The sequence below is a fragment of the Homo sapiens genome, chromosome 7 (genome assembly GCF_000001405.40).
Source record: "Homo sapiens chromosome 7, GRCh38.p14 Primary Assembly".
NCBI lineage: Eukaryota > Metazoa > Chordata > Mammalia > Primates > Hominidae > Homo > Homo sapiens.
In genome coordinates this window covers 83,387,771-83,414,934 of record NC_000007.14, presented here as the reverse complement: position 1 = coordinate 83,414,934, position 27,164 = coordinate 83,387,771, and the positions used below count along the sequence as shown (strand labels likewise).

The following is a 27,164-nucleotide window of genomic DNA, read 5'->3' as shown; positions in this document are numbered from 1 at the left end:
TTTCTCCTTTTAATTCTATAGCCATTTTTATTTTTAAATTTTATTCTGACCCATAGTTGTATTACCAATTCCAGGTATAATTTAATCCTACCATTACTGAAATGCCTAAGGTATGATAAGACACATGTAGCTAGAGTTTGGGGAAAAAAACACCCTGATTTGTCATGTACCTTTTGAAACTTTGCTTTGAAAGGATTAACTTTGTTGTTGGAGTATTTTTAGGGATGCTTTTCAAAGTAAATGCACACTAAATTTTATTTTAACAAATAATCACTAATAAGATATTTTATAGTCCATGAATTTTATTTTAACAAATAATCACTAATAAGACATTTTATAGTCCATGAATTTTTCCTACACTTTTTTTCTATTACTTTTTTCAGCAAATAAAACTACAAAGTTTACAGCCACTGAAATCCTCTTCCTGACTGAGCTTTTATCCATAATAATAATACCTTTGTGAATATATATCCTTATTATGAATTTTGTAAATTAAAAGTCAATGTCAATTGAATGAATGGGAGTTAGAATGCATGCAGAGAAAATTTAAGTTATTGTTTCAAGTTGTTAATAATATTAAAACATTTTAAATAAATAATTGTTTATTTTTAATTAACTATATTTGCATTCAGGGAATAAACTGGCACAAAGTAAGGTCATTTATTAGAAAAATAAATGAAAAAATTATAAATGAAGTTAGAATATTTGTCTTTATAATGGTAAGTTCTACAAACATAATAAGCAAATGTGTTGCCTCGTGTTTTGAATTCACCTCAACTATATAGAAACATAGACTTCAGGTTATTCCCTTACCACTTTCCTGTCCCTAAAGAATATCTATAATTTCTTATCCAATGCTGCTGCTCGCTCTCTCTCTCACTTGGCAGAATGCCCATTATCCACATGCTTATTGTAGCTTCTGGCCATGACTGCTAGTCTCTGAGGAGCTATTTGAATACTTTACTTATGGTTCCGTCACAACGAAAAGAGGTAAAGGACTAAGAAAAAAGCCCCACTCTTCAATTCCCCACTTATATTCTCTCCTTTGAGAATCTGTTTTAACCCTCATGGTATCAATATCATTGGTTTGCCACCAAGAAAACTCAAGAGTACAGCCATGGGTGCTGGCACACACAAATAAACAGATTCAAAAGATATTTTTATTGTTCCTTCATGCCTCAAAACCACCTTCTTAACATTGAGAGCTAGTGCTAATCATCTTCCCAAACCAAAATAAACCGAAAGCCCAAACAACAGCTAAATGCCTAATAAAATCACACATTCAGAATCTCACATTCTTCCTGGTTTCTTTCAGCATCCTAAGCAGAATGTGAGTGTGAACCGGGATGTTGAAATATGTGAGTCATTTTCATCCATCCTCATCCTCCCAAGTGCATTTTGTTTCTCTTTGTAGCTATGCATGTCATAGTGATTCTGCAAAACAGTCCATCCACAATAGAATAATGTTCTAACAAAATTATAAAATTCAGTTATAAAGTGAGGCAGCTAAATCAGTCTTTAGCCATATGCTGTTCCATGAGGCAAATATGTTTCACATTATTTAGATTTGCATAACATACATTTATAACATAAACAGAAGCAATGCTTGAGTAAAACTTAACAAGATAAGAAGGTCATGAAACACTACTGTGAATTTTTCTTGTTATACAATTAAAATCCAACATGGTAAATAAAAACTCAGATAATATATAGTCCATGAACAAAACTCTTGATACGTTCCATAAAATATTAAGGCAATGCAATGGATTTAATTAAAACTTCAACTAGAGTTCACATTGTAAAAAAAAGGAGTTATATAGAAAAGTATTTTAGTTACACATTTTAGAATTAATATAAAGAATGTGTTTTTATCTATTTCAAAGAGTCAAATGATTGTCTTATTTTCTTTCACATAAGCAATTTAGTGTTGACACACTCTTTTAATCACAATATAATGTCCTTTGGGCTGAAATTCTTGGGGATCAATTTTTGAAAAAAATAGAGTTCCTGTTTTAATCTATTAAAATTAATAACGTAAGGCCCTCAAGGAACAAAAATTCAAATTTGTTATCCACGTAAATTCCCAATAGCCTTTTCTTTCGTTTGATATTTTCTCTCTGAAACAGTTTTTAAAAGTTAAGATCTTATCCTGTGTGTTTTTTTTTTTTTTTTTATCTTTTTTTAGGCAGGGTCTGGCTCGGCTGGAGTGCAGTAGCACAATCATAGTTCACTGCAGCCTCTACCTGCCTGGCTCAAGAGATTCTCCCACCTCAGCCTCCTGAGTAGCTGGGACCACAGGTGTAGGCCCCCATGCCCAGCTACTTTATTATTTATCATTATTATTATTATTTGTAGAGATGGGGGTCTCTTTATGTTGCCCAGGCTGATCTTGAACATCTGAACTCAAGCGATCCTCCGGCCTGGGCTGCACAAAGTGCTGGGATTACAGGCGAGAATCACTGCACCTGGCCCTGATTGTTGACACTTCACAGCCTTTCATAACCTTTTTTAAACCCTGAAAGGAACTTCTGATATATTTAATTATGAACTCATTAAGCCATTCTTTGATTCAACAGATATTTATTGAGCATTTTTTGTATTTCAGACATTAATGAGGCATCATTTCAAACACACAAGGAGTCAATAAAAATATAGTTGGATGAGCAGTAGGATAGAAATAGGTACCAGAGCTACAGTGGCACTAGGAACCACTACACTAAAAAAGTTTGGCCAGACAAGGTGTCATGGAAAAAGCGGACAATAACCAGGCAAAAGGAAGGTGAAGTGAGAAGAGAGGTGTGGAATTCTAGGCCAAAGAGCAGAGAGAACATAAAAGCTTGGCAGTTTCCGAGAATTACATGGCAGTCTCTTTGATTCTGCAGATAACTGAGACCTTGAGATTTTGAGCAGTTTGTGGTGGTCAAACAGCAGATTTTGAGCTAGAGACTTGGCTTGCCAGATTTCCACTGCAGAACTATTTCTACTATTCTTTCTTCTCTATATAAAGACTATTGTTGAGTGTGAGAAGTTGTTAAACTCGCCCATCTCCATAGACATAGAAAACTAAATCCTTAGATAGTTCTTCTGTTATAACTGAAGCCCTAAAAGGTATTTTAATCTTTTTATAAAATGTTTTCCTATTTTAATCCATGAAAATATGATTTATCTAGATGTTATTTTTGCATTCTGTAAAAGATCAATGTATTGATTCACAACTTTTCTGATACCAAATAGTTATAATAAATTTAATTAGAGACTATGTATTTCCTACAAATTGTATTAAAAATTTTAATAATGCCCAGTATTTTTGCTTACTTAATTACTATTAGGTATTATTTTACCTAAGGTTTTATTAATATTATTATTTATTTTTCACTAATGTGTTGTCTTTCTTTTCTAATTTTCTTAGGAAAGTATTTTGCTAAACATAATTATTATCAATTACTATGAATTTTTTTAAATTTGCATTGATATGAAGATATGAAAGGAATATCTCTCCCTTCTGAGGAAAACCTAACATTTCCAACAGAAACACATTTGTTTCTATTTACGTTGCTTACAGTTTTTAGCACCTATATAGTGTCTTTGAAATTCAAGTCATACAGTTCATATTGTGTTATGGGAATTGCTCACAATTTTCTCTGTCCTGAGTGCAAAATGGGAAACTGGGTAACATTGAGAATACATTATTTTTTCTCTTGTGCAGAGAATTGTCTCTGAATATGGTATTATCTAGCATCATAGGGCTGCCACCTAGTGGCTCCAAGGAATACTTGTTTGTTAATTTTATAGCATTGGTTAAAACGATAATTTTGAAACAATGTTCCAAATTAGGATAAATCCATTAAAATCGAAGTGTACTAATATAAATATTATTTTCCCATAAAAATATTTTCAATTATCAAAGTCTAAAATACTTTAAGATATAAAATCAAATATTAAAAATGTAAAGAATAGAAAACTCATGATTTTAAAGAAATCTAATCTTCATTCCCATTATACATTAAAGATTCAGACCAGCCCACAGTAGCGAAATAAATTATATTTTCAACCATTTAACAAGCTGGTCTTTATATTTGGTGTGGTAAACATAACTCAACTATAATAATTAAAAACAAAAATATTTCAGAGAAATCCTCACTCATGTGTTAATAGTCAATTTTTTTAAGTGTCAACTTGGTTGTTTATGCCATAGAGTTGATGATTCCAAAGTCCTTTTAATGACTCTCTTTTATCCATGTTCAAATAATGCAGACTGAATTCCAGGTAACAGGTCATATTCCTAACCACTGAATGCATTTATGCATTTGGTCTCAAAATACTACTTCTTCAAACATAGACATAAAATTTCTGGGAAAGACAGCACTAATTAAATGACTTTGATAAAAAATTATGTTAATCTTTTCCCTTTCTATTATCAAATAACATGATATGCTTAAGAGTTCTAACATAACTTTTCTCTACCAAATTATATATTGTTAAGTCCAGATTTAAATAGTCATTTAGTTTTTGTTATTTTCCTTACATCATACCTCTCACTTAGCGTAAGTTGAATATACTAGAAGAACTCAACAAATATATCTTTTTAAAAACTCTGTGATCTTGAAAATTTTCAAATACAAAGAAATTTGAAGTAAAACTAAAATTAACACCTGTATACCATTTACCTTGATTCACCAATTGTTAACACTCTGACACATTTACTTTTTCCTCTCTCATTTAGAATATATAATTTTAAAATGAATTCTTTTTTGGAAACCATAGATTGTATTTATTTGTATCTCATAGAGTGTTTTAGGCATCCATAGAGGATTTTGTGAACAGAGAAAAACTAATTAGAATTATTTATCTTTTTAAAATGAAAAAGACTATTATAGTAGTACTTCTAAAGCTTATTTTTTTAATCTTTGAGTTTAATTTATATCATATTATTCTAAATTTGGTATAACAAAAGCAATCATCTTTACCTTTAAAATATTAATAGTTAATGCAAGTTGAAAATAAACTTCCTTTTAATTTGTCTTATATATAATTTAATTGATCATTTTCTCAAATGTTAAATCATACAAAAATGCTTACACTTCTGAAGTTTTCCAAAGCTTTAAAGACCTTACCTTGGGAAAAAAGTCCTTCATAAATAATTAAACAATTTTTAAAGTTCTAATAAATAAAATTTATAAATAAAGTATTCAATATCTTTTAAATTCTGTTTATATATTTGGTCAAATTCTTATACCTGCAACTTTAATAATCCTAATTATAAAATTAATTACATAATTAGATATATTAAGTTGGAAATACAATTAATTTTGAAATCTCTTAACCTTTAAAGCATTTTAAATATGTGTATGCATACACATTGCAAACTTAACAAAAAAGCATTAGTACTATGTAATATAATAATCATATCTGTTTTAGAACTAGACCAATGTTATATGCCACTCATTAAGAAAACAATTTTACCACTTTGCTTTGAGGTTGCTGTTTCCAGCAATCTGCTGTTATCATTTGTTTCTTGGCCAGAGATTTTTGCTCCAGACAGGACAACTGAGCCGGGTATGGCCAGGACATCCTTCTGGTAAAACTGATGGGCACACTGATTACCTCTTGTGAGTTTTGGGAAAGGATTCTAAGTCCCTATGCTTCAGAGCTATTGATCTTCCTGGAGTTCAAGTTATACTCTCCCTTAAGTTATTTTAATGTCTTTTTTCTTACTCAAAAGACACATGGTTATTTCCTGAGACCCTGAATACATTATGTAATTTCTCAGTCTGATTTTAAGACTGTGACTGCCACCACATGTTGCAACTAACTTCCTTCAATCATTTTGTTGACTGTCTGATTAAATTTTGAGCGCTTTTTATATCCTTCCTATCTGACTGAGCCACAAATTTACAAATTGAATGACAACTGATTGGATTATATCATCTTTGTTAGACTTTGTTGTTCCCACACTAAAATCATATTCATGATAGCAGTATCTTGTTACAAGAAGGATTTGAATTAGCTGACTGACATATAAAACCTGTAATCATCACAATAACAATCATAATGATAAAGCCCTGATGATAGGGAGGTTAAAAGAAGTCTAGGAAAATAAATGAAGCCAAGGTATTTACCAAAAACTCATATAGGTCTTACTATTTACCAGCTGATCTTCCAAGTGCTTTGCTCTTAACTATCTTACTGAATGCAATTACTTTTCTAATTTCTAAATGAGGAAACTGAGGCACAGGGAACTTAGCAACTTGCCCAAGTTCACACCTAGTAAGTGACAGACTCTGGACTCAAACCCTGGGAGTCTTACTATACCATCCATGCTCCTAACAGCAATAGTATTAATGTCATAAAGTACATATTATAGATACACATATTAAATTTGGATGTGTTTAATTTGTTAACATATTAACAAATACTGACTTCTTTTTTACTGATGCTCCCGTGTAGGTAGTGAATTGTTTGCTGGACTCTACAGTGACTACTGGAGCAGAGACGCTGCGATCTTCCGCAGCATGGGGCGACTGGCCCATATCCGCACTGAGCATGACGATGAGCGTCTGTTGAAAGGTAAGGATGAGGAAAAGAGTATGTGAATTAGGATTGAAATCAACTCTAAAACTTACGGAAAATGTTGCCATTTTGATAATAATAAGAATATAAATACAATTCCTTTACAAATTTCAGAATGTTTTACTAGCAACATTCTTGAATTAAAATATTGTATATAATATATGTACATCATTTTCTATCAAAATTGATTGGCTTAATTATAAAATCAGTATACCTTCCGAGCAATGCTTAGAAATCAGTATTTGAATAAGGAAAACAAAACAAATGTATGAAAAGTGAAAAGTCCATCATCCAATAAGCTGTTTTGTCTACTTTTATCAATTGATATAATCTTTGATGAATTGATTGCCCTGCTTTGCTTGTTTTAATAGGATTGCATTAGACTTTAGAGACAAAACTCTAGGAAAGTCACTAGACATTCATTGATACAGAGTTCTTTGTAAGAAGTAAGTTTTATATTTTGGCACACTGGTATATGGAGGTGCTAGAATATTGTTTTATGGTGAGCATTTTAATTACTTTCCACATTTTTATTAAGCTTTAAAATGCATAGTCATTGATGATACCATTCATATATTTTACATACCATATCAAAGAACATTTATTCAAATCTCTTGGACTACAATCCCAAAAACGTAAAATAAATTTTCTACTTTGAAACTAAAATGATCTATGCGCTATACTGGTAGATCATTTATGAATTAAAAATAAATTATGATAGATTTATTTACTTTAATATGTTACTTATACTTACATTTAGTTTTTACCTACAATGGGAGGAAATTTGTAGAGATTTGTCTTCATTGTGCTCCCAATCTGCTCTTTCCTGAATGCATTTTAAGTTCGCATTGCATGTTGTTTGAAATTCTTCTTCTCTCCTGGATTCTTTTATTTTCCAATTAAATATTCTTGTAATATTTCTAAAAGGGCTGTTAATATGCAAATAAAGTGGAGATATCAACATAGTTTTTAATGTTTGGTAAAAAAATTCAAGAAAAATATTTCTTTATGAAATGGTGAAAGTTAAACTTAAGGATTCAGATGATATACAATTTATTGGAATAACTTGTTAGCATTTAGTTGTAATATCTATTTCACTTTTTCTCCTATTTTTTGCTCCTATAGAACCAAAATTTGTAGGTTCATACATGATTCCTGACAATGAAGACAGAGATGACAACAAAGTATATTTCTTTTTTACTGAGAAGGCACTGGAGGCAGAAAACAATGCTCACGCAATTTACACCAGGGTCGGGCGACTCTGTGTGGTGAGGCTTTCTCTCTCATTATGCTTGCTTATCTCACAATTTATGGTCAGGCCTTTATTAAGTTTATAGTAAGTTTCTACTTTTAAATATTTTCTAGTATTCTTTAGACTGCCTACAATTGATATTTACTATACCAACCTCTACATTTCATATCTAGTGAAAGGTGTATCTTAAAAGGACCTTGTATTTTGCATGATTTTCCCCATTTTTGAAGCTATACCAAGAAGAAATCGTCTATGATTAGACTGTCCTTCTTCCCATGCAGAAATTTGAACTTTATTTTTCTTAATGAATTTGATCAAAACCTTTTTTATTCCTTTAGTACACAGTACAAATAATATACATAGCTATGTTTGAACAATTCGGTTGGTTAAAATTATTTTTAAAAAAGCCATCTGTAACTTACTGAATATTTAGAGAGGTTGTTTGGGAACATTTAAAACCAATAGGAGTAGCAACATATATTGAGAGAATCAAATAAAATTACAAATGTAAAGTTACCTTGCCATTTAAGAAGATGTTCGAAAATAAATTTACATATAAATATGTGTGCATATATATATTGTGTGTGTGGTGTATGTATATATTTATATACATATATAGTATGGGTGTTGTGTGTGTATTTCAAACTTTCTTGAAAAGCTTTCTTCCTTTGTTAAAGGAAGAAAAGAAATGGGTGTTTCTATATTCCTGAGAGAGGCAAATTATTTATGAACAAAGTAATAATCATGATTACTGTATCTCTCCACTATTCTATTTAGGAGAGTTTGCAGTATTAATATTGTTTAATATCTGCAAAATATATTTACTGTATCAGGGTGAAAGTGCACTGACAAGGCCGAATGAAGAAACCTAAAAAAAAATAAAAATCCAAATTATGGGGAGTTGCACCTATGACATTACTTGAGAATTATGCCAAATTTTCCTAGTTAAATAAAAAAGTCATAACTCTTGGCAACTGCATGTTTAATAATATGAAATCTGTGGTTGGTCGAAATTCTTTAGGTAACTATTTACCTCCTTTTTGGTTTTCACAGAATGATGTAGGAGGGCAGAGAATACTGGTGAATAAGTGGAGCACTTTCCTAAAAGCGAGACTCGTTTGCTCAGTACCAGGAATGAATGGAATTGACACATATTTTGATGAATTAGGTAAATGTTTTTAGGTGAATTAAATTTGCTCTTTTATGTATATGCTTCTTTATAACTTTATCCCTAGGACACATAGAAACTTGCTTTCTGTGTATTTGACCTCTATCTAACATAGAGCAAGTTTCTGTTCTTTTCATTTTGGCCAGGCACGCATGCTGGGGGAAAAGGGATTGCAAGAACAAAAAGAGGCTCATCTTGTTAGCTTAGAGTCAGTGTCTGGTTCCTTCCTATTGTTCAGCTCAAGGCCACCCAGAATAGCTGAATGATTAGCTCTGTTATGACTTGGTCATGGTTGTATGATTGTATATGAAAATACACATCTCAAAATCTATAATGAGTTCTAAACAAATTTAGGTGAATAAATTTTCTTTGCATGCAAAGAGAGCTAAAAATACTAAGCGATGGAATGGCCTTTAATTTTTCAGAGGACGTTTTTTTGCTACCTACCAGAGATCATAAGAATCCAGTGATATTTGGACTCTTTAACACTACCAGGTGAGAAATTTATACAGTCAATAAAAACAATATAGAACAAGAGATGCCTCACCGGACTCTCCCTTCATGGTGTATATAAGTTGAAAGACTATTGACCCAGTTGCTCTTCTCATTTTCTACACTTTATAATCACCAATTGATCTTTATTTTCCAACGTTTGCAAATGTACTTTCATTTTCAGAAGCTCAATCTAAATCCAAATCTTGTTTCTGTTTATAGTACCCAGAATCCTCCTGTGCTCAGTATCCTGATATCTTCACTCTGTAATCTAGAACACAGTGATTTTTTTTTCACATACAGTTTGTAAGATATCAGTCCTTACAATGTGTTATTATATGTTGTAAAGTCTAGGATAATTCCTTTATTCATCACATAGAATTTTCCAAGCCAGGCTTTCAAGGTTCTATCTCAACTGTTACTCACTTGCCTTTGGACATTTTCCCTGTGAGTTCACTAATGGTCTGATTTTGACAAGATAATGCCTTGACAGATGCCAATCAGTGTCTACTTTGCTAGTTCCCATTACTATATTTTTATTTATTCACTTACCTTGCTTGAAAAAACTTTCTCCTCCAACACTGATTTAAATCAGTTCTCCAATACTTACCAATTGCCATATCCAAGAAAAATTTCTCGATTTCATAATCATAGAACACTCTTCTCACTCTTTCATTCTGATTTTCCTGCTCTTACGTTGATTCATAGTGAACACGTTCATCATTTGCTCTCTATCTTTTAAATTTGCTGCTCAAGTTTAAGATGTATAATCTATTGTTTTCCCCTTTATGTTTCTGTATTTTTTTAACCCATAGTAAAGTGCTGTAAAAATGGATAAAATATTATTTCATATATTTTGACACACAAATAAAAATATTAGAATCAGTATTTGTTAAAAGGTTATATAGACAATTTCCTGAGTATCTTTCCAGGTAAGGCATAGTGCAGGTAAAATGATTAGGATAAAAAATAAAGAAGAATATACCTCAATTCTCTTGACAGGGCTAGAATAATATTACTGAATTCCTCTTTTACATCATATAAGCCATAAACTGTCATATAATTATGTATACTGTGCTTACGTGGGGTCTTTCCACACAGCTTTAGTTTGTTATTTTTCAGTAGGTAGTTTCTAATGCTCACTTAGAGAAAATAATACATCTCTTTAGACAAGAATCCTGCTGTTGCAAAGAGACCTTTTCTTCAACAGAGAAACATGGAAACAATTTGTCTATCAATTATTCCTTGATGCAAAGAAAAATAGTTAATGTAGATTGGTAGTTATCACAGCGCATGGAGAGTACTTAACGTTTTAACTTCATCTCCTCCCTTATGCTGTGAATAATTCATATGTTGCATGATAATTCAGTGAATTTATATGATAAATTAAAGCTATGGAATAATCGGTTTAGTTTTTCTATGGGTTAATATGATCAGATTATAAGCTATTTTCCTAAATGATAGCGTAATGGATCTTTCTGAGAAATCAAGCATAAGACATTATTTTCTTCTATAATTTCTATTTTGACTGTTCAATTTATATAAATCTGAGAACAAAAGCTTCCCAGCTGTTACCTGACATAAGGATTGATATTTGTAGAATGGTGATCAAAGGCGTGCTACCACTTTAGTTAGGAGACTATCTCAAGTGTTCCCTGTATCCCAGGCATTTCCAATTGCTTCAAGGTGTGTTATAAAATGTGTAAATTGGGGGTGTAGGACAGTAACATAACTGCTGTTTTACAGGTGTCTCAGGATGTAGGAAACTTTATTTATATAGAACTTTGAATTTTGCAAAACACTTTCACAAACATTAATTATTTGGATTCTTACAATACAGAGATTCTGATAATGTTATAATTCATTCAGTTCATGCTAAATTAAGGAATATGGCAAGAATGTTTAAAAAAATCTTTAAAAATGTCCTTTTGTAGAATCTGATTACAAATATCTTCAATAAAACTTGCCACAGTTAGTCAACTACTGCCTTTATACTGTCAAGTAGAAATTTTAATCAAGAAAATTTTTTTGCTTTCCGCTAGTTCTGGAGATGAGGGATCTAAGTTTTATATGGTTAAAGTAATTTTAAAGACACTTTGTGGTGACTGGAGGAAGGAATATACAAGCATATTAAAGTTTACATGAACCCCCGCTAAAAAATGGAAAAAAGCCTAAATTTTCATAAGACTTTAAATTTTTCTTTAAGTCATATACATTAAGAAACTTAATACATCTTAATAGAATTTGTAGCAATATTAACAGCATAGTGAGTAAGAGGACACTGTCTACTTTGAAAATAGAACAACATAAAAGGAGATAATATCTAAATGAGTAATTCAACTTGGGAATAAGCCTTTGTTAATATGAAGGCCAGATCATCCTTAATAAAAAAATATAAAAACACAAGGTTTAAAAATAACTGAAGTAACATTATTTTTGTCATTGTAACAATGTCATCTTCAAGTGTATTAAGTAGGCAGTTAAGAAAATGGTAAGTTTCAGAGTTTCAAAATTGGAAATATTGCAATAATTAACATACCTAGAATATTCTTTGCTTAAAGAAATTGCAACCACTTTACCCAAAAGACTTGACTCTTATCTTTGTAGGCTGGGGTATTTGGCTAGATGACCTGCAGTTAGTTCCAGAAGAATAATTATCTTTTTTGTATTTTTCAGTAATATTTTTCGAGGGCATGCTATATGTGTCTATCACATGTCTAGCATTCGGGCAGCCTTCAACGGACCATATGCACATAAGGAAGGACCTGAATACCACTGGTCAGTCTATGAAGGAAAAGTCCCTTATCCAAGGCCTGGTTCTGTAAGTTTAGTTATATAACAAATAATTCTTATTTTTAAGTATACTTTTGGTAATATTTTGTTCACTGTTTCATAAGACTTTGCAGATAAACAATTAAGGAATACTATACCTAAAAGTATGCTTGGTGAAAAGTATATGTAGTAAAAAAATATTCCTTCAAATCTCAAGTTTTATCCTTGTTATTTAATAAAAAGAATATAATATATAATGGACACAGCAGTATTATAAAATATGTACTATTATTGATATTTTGGCTAAGTAACACCAATTGAAATTTTATTTTTAAAAGTACTGGTGAAAACAGAAACATTCAGTAACATGAACATCGTATTCCTCTCAGCCTCTTCAGAGGAGTTAGCACCACATATAATTTCCAAGCAGGACAATGTCACCAAATTTTTATGTTCTAACATTTAAATTAGCCTCTAATTTCCCTAGGCCAAACTGTCTCCTTACTTCTCATTGTAGGAAATCTATAAGAAGTTTTTTTCTCTATCTCCTCAGAATACTTAGCACCTCATTTAACATCCTTGCTGGCCCCTTAGGAAAGAAATGCCAATACAAAAGTATTGCTAGAGTACAAAGGTTCTACCACTTGTCTCTGAACTATACTATTAAGATTCTTCTTAGCTAGGCATGAAGTCTTTTGTGCTTTTAGCACACATGGCTAAAACTGATGATGATAGTGAGGGTGATGATGAGATGATGATTTTGTATCATTCATCCTGTGTGCAACTAGGTTGGAAAAACTTTGGATCATTGTATGTGCTATGTGAGCTATGGAGAGCAAAGATTTAACTTGTCACACAAGTCAACATCTATACTTTTACAAGCAGCTGGTGAAATCCCATCACTACACTGATTCCACGATTACTTGCAAGTCAAATAGAAACCATTTTTGTAGAGCAAAAACCCAAAGTGAAAACAAACCTTACTTCCATTAACAAGTGTTAAAGCTTTACCATTTCAATCACTCTCTCTCACTAGCTTAAAATTATTACTTCCAGTAAGACATAAAGTATATTTTATTTCACTCTATTGATTGAAATTACAATTTTAAATGGAGAAACCCTACTCCTGTGGCTTTGCTGGAAATGCTTCCTGAAACCACATGGTCTTAAAGGAGATTTGGAGGAAGCGACTGGTTATGGAACTGCTTCCAAGCTAGTCCAAAATGTTTCCAATTATATATCATGAAAGTACACTCAAGTGAAAAATCCATGCCAAATTAGGAAATATGGTCTGATTTTAAAAACCACACCATTATAAATGTCCTCTTTGTGGAATCTGATTACTAAACTACTGTATTTATACTCTAAAGTGGAAAATTTTTATCAAGGTAATCGTTGCAATTGTTGTAGTTCTGGAGGAAAATATGTAAAACGAGGGAGCAGTTACTAACAAGCATGAATCAACACATTTAAAGGTTTTCCAATGAGTAACTTAAGCTACTGTTGAGTATTTAATTTTTTAGTCAGTAGTTTAAAAATTGACATAACACATATTTCTTGTTTTCCCAGTTTATTTTGTCAAATCCATTAAAAATACAAATTCACGTAGATTACAGCAAACAGAGAGTGTCTTTTTGCCATTGATAATTAACAGTGATAACATCTGAATAGGTTTTTTTGTTGAACCACTAAAATTCTATAGTCAGTGAGCCAATCAGAACCATCACTGATCATATTATCATAGACTCAGTAGTAGTAAAGCTATTTTGTACAGTTGTGATCCTTAGTTAGAAGTTTCAACACAACGAAGAGATTTCTTCTCTTTGTGTGAACAATAGATTGTTTCCCTTCAAAATTTAACTTATATTACAAAAAACAAATTTCAAAAACAGAGAAAATAATTTGAATATGTATGATGTTAAACATTTTTACCATCCCTAAAGTCTTGATAGTAACTATACTTCACTTTTCCAGAATTTATCCAGTTTCTCTGTATATCTTGTGCTGCATGTTTGAAATAATTTAGCCTTTCCAATTTCTGAGGAAGATTCTATTTCTGTAACAAAAAATATATGGTTACTCACATGGACATAAAGAGGGGAATAACAGATGTAGGGGCCTGCTTGAAGTCAGAGGGTGGGAGGAGGGAGAGGATCAGAAAAAAGAACTATTGGGAACTAGGCTTAGTGCCTGGGTGACAAAATAATCTGTACAACAACATGAGTTTACCTATATAACAAACCTGGACATGTACCTCTGAACCTAAAATAAAAGTTAAAAAAAAAGAAAAATATATGATTACTAAATATTTCTAAATGCACAATTGACTAATTTGACAACTTCAATTTTTCTGATTCTTCTCATAATTGATTATAAATTTTCTCTTTGGGTGTAAAGCAAAAAGAATTATCTGATCCACTTGTTTTTCAGTGTGCCAGCAAAGTAAATGGAGGGAGATACGGAACCACCAAGGACTATCCTGATGATGCCATCCGATTTGCAAGAAGTCATCCACTAATGTACCAGGCCATAAAACCTGCCCATAAAAAACCAATATTGGTAAAAACAGATGGAAAATATAACCTGAAACAAATAGCAGTAGATCGAGTGGAAGCTGAGGATGGCCAATATGACGTCTTGTTTATTGGGACAGGTAAAGAGACGAGAAAGTACTCAGAGATATTTAAATTGACCCTTAAATTCAATAATTTTAATAATATTTCTAAAAGCACCTATCGACAAATCTGTCCATCTGTTAAACAATTTCACACTGCTAATCCAAAATGAGAAAGATTGAAATAGAGACCTCATGTGGCTGCAATAGTAAGAGTTTAGGCCAGTTGTCTGGGAATATTACCACTTTCATTGTCAGAAGTGTCATGGTTTGACCAACAAAATATGTGGTTTTTTTTCAGATGTGAGAAATATTGAAGCTGACAAAGAGAGGATTTGGGGCTTGCATAGCACAAAATTCCTTATACATGATCAATACTTCATGCATAAGAATAAATGAATAAGTAAAGAAATGAATAATAGACGTTAATGAACAAAGTTGGTTTCCAATAGAAGTTCTCATAGTGGAAGTAGAGTGTCATAGCAAGAATAGTTCTGTCAGTTTCCCAGCTCCATTACTGACTTTGCTCAGCGAGTCCTGGAGATTTTGTGAACAACTTGGAACTTGGGACAATACCTTCACCTAAATCTCTAAACACAGCAATTCTTATGAGTTCACGTCAAGATCAACCATTTGTACCAAGCAGGCCAAATGTTACCAATAATATCCTGCATTAATAAAACAAAGTATGATAAATATGCTACAAGTGATATTTTCAAATAAATTTGTAATTTCAATTAACCCATACATTAGATCTAACTTGTAGAAGAGGACTTGAGATCTTTCAGCCTCCAAAGTAGTATGTAGCAAATTCTTTGAAGTGTTTTAAAATCCTAGTCATTTTTAAAGTGTTTAAAATGATTCTTTCATTGTCTTTCTTCTTATTCAGCATAGTATAATTGCTACAGTAGTTGATCTTTAGAGAAGTGAGCATTCTAACATACATGACTTTAATTATAGATATATAATTCTCAAGAGATATTGGCATAAGCCCAGATCAGGAAACAGGATGTAATATTAATATTAATATTGGTGCTTGGGCTTCTCCAATAAACCCTTTGTTTTTATTTTTGTTTTGTTTTTTGTGGCTTTTTTTGTTTTGTTGGTTTGTTTGTTTTTTCCTGAGCTGGGGTCCTGCTCTGTTGCCCAGGCTGGAGTGCAATGGCACGATCTTGGCTCACTGCAAACTCTGCCTCCCGGGCTCAAGCGATTCTCCTGCTTCAGCCTCCCGAGTAGCTGGGATTACAGGCATGTGCCACCATGCCCGCCTAATTTTGTATTTTTAGTAGAGACAGGGGTTTCTCCATTTTGGTGAGGCTGGTCTCGAACTCCTGACCTCAGGTGATCCACCTGCCTCAGCCTCCCAAAGTGCTGGTATTACTGGCGTAAGCCACCATGCCCAGCCATCCTTTTGTTTTTTAAAACAAAGATTTAAAAAAGAAAACATCTATCTTATTCTTAGAAATTGATCTCTGGTACAGGCTGTATTTTATTCATTCATTTTAGGAAGTTAATGTTAATAATATGCTCAGCACTGTGGGTTCATGATTAACGGTGTCATCAGATTTCTTTAGCAAACTTGAAATTACTTGGCCATAAATTCACTCATAGTGACTTCCAACAAAATTTTTAAAAGTTGCATAATCAATACTAATATTTGATAAAAGTAATTAAAGTATTAGTTTGGTGCAAAAGTAATTGCGGTTTTTTTCTGTTACTTTAATGGCAAAAACTGCAATAAATTTGCACCAACCTAGTATGTGATTTTTAAATGCCCTGGAAAGCAGAAGCCACATATAACAGTCCAAGAATGTTTTTAGAAATACTTGCTTGTCATATTGATCAAAGTAATTCCAGAGAATTTCAGAAGTATCAAGCATATATTTGTGCTGCCATATACACCATGCTTAAGTCAAAGGTGTCATCATATTGAACCACAGATTTTCAGAAAAAAGAACATGTTTAATGAATGAAATGGGTACAACATTGAAAAATCCCACAAATAATATTTTGTCCAATATTTACTAGACACCGGCTTTAATACAATACATATATGGTCCTTATTAAAAAATCACTAATTGCGAATTAATCATTTGAGTCTTATCTTTGCTTTTTGCCTGATATAATTGTCAAGTATTTAATATGTGTGCTTTGTTTTCAAAATGATGATAATTTTTGTTTCCTTTGGGTAGTGTACAATACAGGTAACTGTTATTAGCTTAATTATAATCCAGTTTTATTATCTCATCCATAAGACTTGATAATATTTCAACAAACTGCTGAAATAGCATAGAAACTCTTAGAGAAGAAATTCAAAGTGTTCTTTTTTTTCTAAATTATTATGTCCAGCATTATACTAAATTATTTGTATAGGCAAATTAATGTGTTGTTAAAATTTTTATAGGAAGGAACAAGTTCAGAATATCAGAAATGATAAAAATTAGATGGAATTTTAAAATATGAGTATAAACTTTAAAAATAAATGATAATTATGGAAACTAAATGACTGGTACAAACACTTCTCTCAATGGTGTATACTTGGATTTTTTTCTTGCCAAAACTGTGTGTGCTTGCATGTATGTGTATGTTTTATATATATGATGAGTTTCACAGTGTGTTGCTTGGAATATTCCCTAAGACTAAAGGTATAGTTTCGTACCATAAAAGTAGCTTTTGGTAAAAAAATTTTCTTGCGTCATGCATCACAGAAAAAGTAGCTAGAATAATTTGGCATCTCTCTTATGTTTTATTAATTCCAAAAGACATTTTGATTTTTGAATCTATGATTGGATTTTTGGATCAAACTATTTGAAAAAATCATTATTTCCTCTCATTTTTGGCCAGGCATATAAAATTAATTTTGCTAATTAAAAATATGAGTTTATAAGTAATCATATTATTTTAAACTGACAGTGATTAACATGTTTCATGCCTCTGGATTTCAAATTTTATTTGAATTTATAGTCGCTACTTTTTTTTTTTTTTCTTAGATGAAGGCTTCTCTGTCCCCCAGGCTGTAGTGCAGTGTCATGATCTTGCCCACTGCAACCTCTGCTTCCCAGGTTCAAGCAATTCTCCTTCCTCAGCCTCCCAAGTAGCTGGGATTACAGGTGCCCACCACCATGCCTGGCTAATTTTTTTTGTATTTTTAGTAGAGACAGGGTTTTGCCTTCTTGGCCAGGCTAGTCTTGAACTCCTGACCTCAAGAGATACACCCATCTTGGCCTCCCAAAGTGATTACAGGCATGAGCTACTGCACCCAGCCAGCTACATGGTTTTTTTGAAAACCGTACTGTGACATAGATTCTAGTTTATTTCTTGTTTTGTTTTCTTACAGATAATGGAATTGTGCTGAAAGTAATCACAATTTACAACCAAGAAATGGAATCAATGGAAGAAGTAATTCTAGAAGAACTTCAGATATTCAAGGTATTTAAAGCAAAAAATACAGACCAAATTTATGCATTACAACTACAAGTGAGATGTAAATAGGAAAGATACTATGTCCATTTTTTTTTCCCTAACAGGTATGTTGTGGATTCAGAGCTAATATAAGTGAAGAATTATTTCAAATTCTAATGCATCTGTTTGATTGTTACAGACGTTTCAACTGAGAGATCAATATTTACCCAGCATGGAAAGAATTTCAGTGAATAAACTGTGACTATAAAGAAATAACATTTATACTACATATAATTTTCAGAGCCAGTATTACAGTCACATCTTGTAAATGTACTATCAATACTGACAAAAAAAAATACATTTTCATATTGTGAACATTGAGGCAAGATAAGCATACTGCTTTTTATTAAGTGCATTAATTATACAAATAATTTACTAAAAAAGAAAAACAATAGAAGATGATAATAAAAAAGACATGAAAAAACAATTACATATGCAGATACACTTAACATACATAGGTGCACGTGTGTATACATATATGTGTGTATACACATATATATGTGTGCATATATATAAATGCACATATGCACTTATACACACACACACACACACACACACACACATCAAGTCGTATCATTTGCAGCAGTTTTGGTCTTCAAAGTTGTTGTAACACTGAACTAGTGAATACTGACCACTGCTCCCATGGGAAATACAGGGTTATGTTCCAGCAAATTTCTATTTATAACGTAATTATCAACAGATCAATACGTAACCTTCTTTTATGTGTGTTTGTGTTTAAAGACACCTTATTTAATATATATTGCTGATGAACTAACATCGAACTCACAGCTGACAGCACGATAATCCATGCCTGAATGAAGCTTATCTAAGAGTTTTCAACGTTAAGGCACAGCACAGCTTTTTTGAATTTAGGAACATTAAACAGCACTTCAGCGCTATGCTTGGGGGCCATTTTAAAAACAAAACATCAACAAAAAGCACAGACATGTGAAAATCTTGGCACTACATAGTCCATGAAAAAGATATTTATTTACACTATGAAAGCTGAAACAAGAAGGCAGAGTGACACCTTGTTTCATCTCAGCTGGGAATGTGCATGTCCTGTGACTCAAGTTTTTTGCTACTCTGAGCATGCATGTGCCCATGAGTTAAAAACACAGAACATCTTGATATTGGGGTTGCAACTAATTTTAGCAAGTAGGCTAATTTGCAAATACAGAATCTGTGAATAACAAAGATTGGCTCTATATGTTTATGATGGGTAGATGTGAAAAGACTTTATAAATGAGAAGCAGTACATTTTGCCTTTGCTGTACTAGAACACAGATTCCCTAGAGCCACACTCAAAGCTAACCACTATCCTATATCAACCGGAGCAGCTATGCTTTTTTTTATTTTGCACTCTGGGACTCTACATAAGATTTCATTTCATGTTATAAACTGAAATATGTTTAATATTCACTCACCACAGTGTTTTGTCCATGAAAACTCTTAAGAAACATTGTTGCCTGAGTGAATGTATGAAGGCATAAAGATTCTGTAGTTTAAAGTAAAAATAAAAAATAAAAAAACACTGACATAGAGGATCAAATGTTCCCTCTTAACAAACAGCTTTTCAAAGGATAATCATCCCCAGAGTGGATTTCACCTGTCTTGTGGTTTTCCACTTGCACAGCTGATCTGAGTTTATTGTGCTCCTTAGGGATGCACTAGCCTTAACAATCCAAAAACAACATGTTGGTTCCCAAAGCTATGGTATAAATTGTCCTTCCTCTGGTGCAGTTCTAAGAAAATCAGGTTATTCATCTCATTCAAAGAATCCTGGGTTAATTATGATTCACCATGATCACTCCAACAGAAAAATATTTTGTTTAGGTTTGGGTTCAAATGATTAAAATCACCTGGTTTATTAGCAATAACACCTATTGAAAGACACAATGGTTTCATTTTAATGACTCAATTACTTTAATAGAACATTCTGACTTTATTATTTTATTTAAAGATACTTGAGTTTCCAAAGCGCAAGTAATATTCAAATACAAATTCAAAAATCATATTCCAAACAGTAAGCTGGTTAGATTTCCTGCTGCTCTTCTCATCTGCATATCTGCCCACCCTGTTAGAAACAAGTTTTTAAAGCTGCATTTTAATTGTGTTTGCATATTGGTTTACTAAAATGAAAGCTATACAGTACTTAACACATAACCACTTATATAAGTAATGTAATTTCAGGGGTTTACAACCATATTAAGGTAAATGTTTTTATACTGTTTTCTTAAAAATGAAAACTTTTTTAAAATTTCAGGATCCAGTTCCTATTATTTCTATGGAGATTTCTTCAAAGCGGGTAAGTTCTGTGTGTGTGTGTGTGTAGGTGTGTGTGTTCTATATGTGAGCTAAGGTAAGGTCAAAGGATATGAGAACATTAGTACATGTGCTTAAATATGAACTTATTACAGTTTTATTTTTCTTTTATTACTTTATTTTATTGTAGTAAGAACTTTTAACATGTGATCTACCCTGTTAACAAAATATTAAGCATACAATACATTTTTAATGGTTATAGGTACAGTGTTATACTGCAGACCTCTAAACCTTATTAATCTTGTTTGACTGAAACTTTATGTCCATTGATTGATTCTGACAAAAGTTTATCATGATTTACATTTGATACTTGTTTTCATTTTCTATCTCTATAGAAAGGAAGATGAGAGTAGTTTTACTTCTACAATCATGATAACACTTTATTCCCTGGTTATTTTTCACTAATGTTTTTCAAAAACAATGGTAACAATGATAATCCAATAGTGTGCAAGAACAATGATAATCCAATAGTGTGCAAGGAAACACACCTCCTTTCCACTTCACTGAAATCAGTTTGGTGTAAACTTCTTTAGAAACAGTTGTTGCATATATTGCCCCAAATTTATTTATAAATAATCCTTCATGTTCAGGCAAAAGGAAAGATATTATATTAAATGTTCAGCCACTTGTTCTGTAGATAGATAGATAGATATACACATCACTCTTCTAAATGTTATATGTCAATATTTAAAAGACTATTTGCTTTCCAAATCTCTTATTAGTTTTTGCTATAGATTTGTTTTCTGTTTTTGAGATAAAGTCTCACTGTGTCACCCAGGCTGGAGTTCAGTGGTGCAATTACAGCTCACTGCAGACTCAACCTCCCCAGGGTCAGGTCATCCTTCTGTGTCAGCCTCGTGAGTAGCTGAGACCACAGGCACATATTACCAGCTAATTTTTGTATTTTTTGTAGAGACAGGGTTTCGCCATGTTGCCCAGGCTGGTCTCAAACTCCTGGGCTCAAGCAATTTACCTGCCTTAGCCTCCCAAAGTGCTGGGATTACAGGCATAAGCCACTACAGGCATAAACCCAGCCGTTTCTATAGATCTTTAAAGGAAGATCCACAGTGTTGGGTAATGCAAGATAATGAACACAGCTTCTTGAGTTCTTGTCAAGTTCAGTGTAGCAATTTTGGTACTCCTGCATTTATGTCTATGAATGTTTCTCAAATATTAGAGAAATGAAAGTATAAATATTATCTATATTGAACAACTGCTATAATTTTTTTTTTTTTTTTTTGAGATGGAGTTTCTCTCTTGTCGCCCAGGTTCCACCTCCACATCCTAGGTTCAAGCAATTCTCCTGCCTTAACCTCCAGAGTAGCTGAGATTACAGGCATCCGCCACCATGCCTGGCTAATTTTTTGTATTTTTAGTAGAGATGGGGTTTTGCCATGTTGTGCAGGCTGGTCTCAAACTCCTGAAACTGCTAATTTAAGTGAATTAAATTTAAGTGAATTTTTTCTGAGGTGATTGTGTATAAATGTGAAAACTAGGTGTAATAGCTCAGTGAAAGTTTTGTCCATTTCTGCTAGTGACCTCTTTCTGATTTCTGTAGCAACAGCTGTATATTGGATCTGCTTCTGCTGTGGCTCAAGTCAGATTCCATCACTGTGACATGTATGGAAGTGCTTGTGCTGACTGCTGCCTGGCTCGAGACCCTTACTGTGCCTGGGATGGCATATCCTGCTCCCGGTATTACCCAACAGGCACACATGCAAAAAGGTGAGACGTGCTACCTGATTAACTATTTCCCTTGCTTAGGAAAACCCTAATGCTTTTTTTTTTTTTTTTTTAACTTGAAGTTTTCCAGAAAATACCTGTATTAATTATTGTGTACAGAGACTGGCACTGAACATGCTGTTGACCTTTTATTTTTTCACCCAGGTTTGAGTCAGTTTTTCCCTCTTTTGAAACTTTTGCTGCAAGACATGAAACGAGTTCAGATAAAGTTAAAATGTGGAAACGACAAGCCACCACACATGAGAGATTCAAAGACTTAAAAGGAAAATCAATAAAGAAATTCTAAAATACATCCTGCATTTGCCCCATGTCCTCTCTACCAGCTGGTCTTCATTTATTTCATTTTGAAAGTGAATATTTTAACTCCTAGGCAAATGCATGACCTGTATAATTAATGAAATGTGTGATTTAATTCAACACAAATGAAAGGTACTTAAAGACCTCCAAACTCCAATGCCTACAATTCTGTGAGGTCATTGCCATTTCCTACAGAAGGTAAATCCCAGGATTCTTTAAGCAGAGATCTTGAGGTGCAGTTAAGTATTTTGAAGAATAAGGATATCTCTTCACTCAAGCCATATGAAGTTGTGCATTCTTTGTGGAAATACCTCAGGAAAAAAAGTATTTTTATTTCTTACAGAATAAGCAGTTTCTTTCTTGCAATAAAATGACCAAAGACAAAATAAAGCAAACAATAGAAGTATAGACAATTTTCTTACTGAAAAACAGTTTGTATTAATTTCAATTATTTTTATTATTTAACTTTGGGTTACTTTTCTGTAAACATTTTTCAGAATATAATTTAACCCAATTTAGTGTAGTTCTTGTTTTATAGGTTCAAATATATAGCAGAATCTCATTAAAACTTCACTAATTCAAAACTTTTGTTAATTTTACTTGAGCAAAATTAACACTCCAGTGAGTATTTTAAAAAAATGATATAATAAGTGGATAGTAAAATTATGCTTCGAGAGGACATTTCTGAACTAAATTTACCAAATGTATTAAAGAATTGAGCAAATTAATTGATTTTGCAGACGTGCTTGTTGATGTTTGAAAACAATTCTTGAAGAATATAGTCACATAATTATTTGAAAATATTAATTATTAGTGTATTCACCTATTAAGCCAATTACTGTACTATGTGCCAGGGATATGAAGAAACAAGCATAACCTCTTGTCTAAAGGAAATTGGAACCTAAAGTGAAGAATGGAATTGTAGATAATGATAGTAGTAGCTTGCTGTTGAGCACTTACTATGAATGAGCTATTGGATTAAGAGCAATGCATATAATACTTTATTTAATTCTCAAAATAATCTCACTTTTGAGCTTAATCTTGAAGGTAGAGATATAAGAAAATTCCAGTCAAAGGGAATTAATTGTCTGCACAAAGAAATAGAATGCTTAAAAACAAGCATGCCGTACCATGGGTCAGGAGTGAAATAGAAGAATATGAGGGTAGAATGTGAATGTAACCACGAATAACAGCATTAATTATTTTATTGTCATAGCAACAATAAAACTGTTTACAAGCCTTGCACCAAATGCTTATGAATGACAGGGTTTTGTGTTAGGCATGCAGTAGTGATAATGAATTTTAATTGAGCAGTTTCCATAGTTAATTTTTCTATATGGTGCATCTTTTAGCAGTGTCCAGCCTTAAGCTTGTTAATACAGTAGATGTGGTGGACAAAAAGAGTTACTTAGAAAAAGTCAAGTGAATGAGAAAAATAGTAGACAGGAAGGCATGAAATGCTGGAATCAGAAGCCGTGCTCGTAAATGAATTAGTTCAGTTCAGTGACATGTAATGGAGATCTTTCAGTGCTGTCAAATTCTTTTGAACCATCACTACCCCTGGAAGATAACTTTTTGGATAAGTTCCAACACATGAAGGTAAAATAGTTTGCTTTTATAGCAGATCATTTTTGCTTCAGACCTGAATAGAAGCAGAAATTGAAAACAGGTCATTAAAATAAATACTTTTCTGCTCAAAGAGTGAAAATGAGTCAACAGGGGAAAAACAGTAATTCACAATCCAAACCACTTGTTTAAAATGATCTTCCAAAATACACTATGGTTTATAATGCTAGAATCTTTTTCTTCCCCTTGCTCTTCTATTTTGTCTATTTCCAGTGTTCTCTTTAAATATGTCTAAAAGACTAGAGATATAAGAATAATACGCAATTTTGAGAATGAAAGCAAATTTGTTCAACTTTCTGAAACTTCTCCATATATATATAGTGTAAATATGTAATATACACATATATACGCGCATATATACGCGCATATATACGCGCATATATACGCGCATATATACGCGCATATATGTGCACACGTATACGCGCATATATGTGCACACGTATACGCGCATATATGTGCACACGTATACGCGCATATATGTGCACACGTATACGCGCATATATGTGCACACGTATACGCGCATATATGTGCACACGTATACGCGCATATATGTGCACACGTATACGCGCATATATGTGTATACGTATACACATATACGCGTATATATGTGTATACGTATACACATATACGCGTATATATGTGTATACGTATACACTATACACATATACGTGTATATATGTATACATGTAATATATACGTGTATATATGTATACATGTAATATATACGTGTATATATGTATACATGTAATATATACGTGTATATATGTATACATGTAATATATACGTGTATATATGTATACATGTAATATATACGTGTATATATGTATACATGTAATATATACGTGTATATATGTATACATGTAATATATACGTGTATATATGTATACATGTAATATATACGTGTATATATGTGTGTATGTATACATGTAATATATACGTGTATATGTGTGTATGTATACATGTAATATATACGTGTATGTGTGTGTATGTATACATGTAATATATACGTGTATATATGTGTGTATGTATATATGTATACTGAAATAAAGGACAACTATACGGGGATAGTATAAAATGAACTGAAACCTTGCTGGAGAATGTGATGTCTTTCTTTTTAAATGTATGTTTCCAATAACTTTCAGCGATATTTTTGCACTCAGTTCTTGACATTGCTTATCTAGAATTATTTGATTGTAGTTTCCTTATCCTCATCTCACTTGTATAATAATCTTTATACAACACCATCTCGGCCAAGTGGAAGCCATTTCTCATTTTGTTGATTTTATTCCTATCCATTATTCATTATTGCTCATCAGCCCTTAGGTTCTCAATATAGAAGCAATACTCAACAAAGTGAGGGATTAACAACAGCATTTTAATTCTCATCTTGATCTGCTATTGGTTGTATAATAATTGTACATACTAGTATAAAACAATATAGAATCATACAACTTTCTACTTTTGCTTGTTATTTTTTCATAAGCTCTATTTTCAATCTAGTTCAGTAGAATGATACATGTGGCAGATCTAATATTAACTTTGTAAAATCTCAGGTTTTTAGGTAAGATTTTCTAATCAGCAATCTCTACATTAAAAAAAAACTAAAACTAAAACATACTTTTGTACACAGGTCATAATCCCAAAAATTGATTGGAGATGTTGATCTGCCCTAGTTTTTAATATCTATTAATATGTTAAATAAGATCTGAACTCCTGTGTGAGAAAGCACTTGATCTCTTGAAATAGCATTCTATTATTGTTATTTAGAGACAGTAAGGACACCCTAGAATGAAAAAAAAAAAAAAGACTGAAATAGATTTTAGGTGTCATTTTGCCACCTCTATTTTACAAGGGAGGACACAAAGAGCCAGGAAAGGGAAGAAATATGCATAAGATCATACAGAACATTAGTGGTGGTATTGGGAATTGAATCTGGTTCACTTTTCCAAATTTCATCATTGCATATGGTTAAAGCATCTCATTGTCACTTTGGGAGCTATGCTATCACCCTCTAGGGTAAAACTTCTGCTTTGCCTTCTGTTTTTCCCTCAGTCTTGAAGAAATGCCATGAATTAGAGAAGCAAGTGGTATTTTCTACCTTTATGTAATACTTCTATTTTAATCTCTAAGCTAAATTAAGTATGCCAGAGTTCTTGATTTTAGAATTTCAATACTATTAATACTAATGATAATTCTCATTGTTTAATTCCTCAGAAAAAAGGCTTACATATTAAATCATTTTATATATAATGTTATATTATATATTTAAAGATATATATATATTTTTTTTTATTTTTTTATTTTTTGAGATGGGGTATCATTTCATTGCCAGGCTGGAGTGCAGTGGTGCAATCTTGGCTCACTGGAACCTTCACCTCCCGGTTTCAGGCGATTCTCCTGTCTCAGTCTCCTGAGTAGCTGGGACTACAGGCGCACACCACCACGCCCGACTAATTTTTGTATTTTTAGTAGACACGGGGTTTCACCATGTTGGTCAGGCTGGTCTCGAACTCCTGAGCTCATGATCCACCCGTCTTGGCCTCCCAAAGTGCTAGGATTACAGGCGTGAGCCACCATGCCCGGCTAATGTTTTTATATATATTCAAAACATTATATTATATACATAATATATATATTCTTGAATTACATATACATATAATATTTTATATATTCGAAACATATGTATATTACATATATTCTGGAATTTTATATATATAATGTTATATATATATAAACATATATATAATGTTATATATATATAAACATATATATAACGTTATATATATATAAACATATATATTCTGGAATTTTTCCGCAGATACAGAATATTGTATTTTTTTCAG

General features: G+C 32.3%; 1 protein-coding gene across 2 annotated transcripts in view; it reads left to right on the top strand.

Annotated features, from left to right (window-relative positions):
* The window catches only part of SEMA3E (semaphorin 3E), a 285,902-nt gene that overhangs the window by 234,205 nt on the left and 24,533 nt on the right, over positions 1 to 27,164 (top strand). For both annotated transcript variants that reach the window (NM_012431.3, NM_001178129.2), the window contains exons 6-14: positions 6,448 to 6,567; positions 7,696 to 7,838; positions 8,876 to 8,990; positions 9,416 to 9,485; positions 12,159 to 12,303; positions 14,685 to 14,907; positions 18,206 to 18,297; positions 20,597 to 20,638; positions 22,214 to 22,380. In NM_012431.3, the coding sequence (NP_036563.1) occupies positions 6,448 to 6,567; positions 7,696 to 7,838; positions 8,876 to 8,990; positions 9,416 to 9,485; positions 12,159 to 12,303; positions 14,685 to 14,907; positions 18,206 to 18,297; positions 20,597 to 20,638; positions 22,214 to 22,380 (1,117 nt within the window). The remainder of the gene's footprint in view (positions 1 to 6,447; positions 6,568 to 7,695; positions 7,839 to 8,875; positions 8,991 to 9,415; positions 9,486 to 12,158; positions 12,304 to 14,684; positions 14,908 to 18,205; positions 18,298 to 20,596; positions 20,639 to 22,213; positions 22,381 to 27,164) is intronic.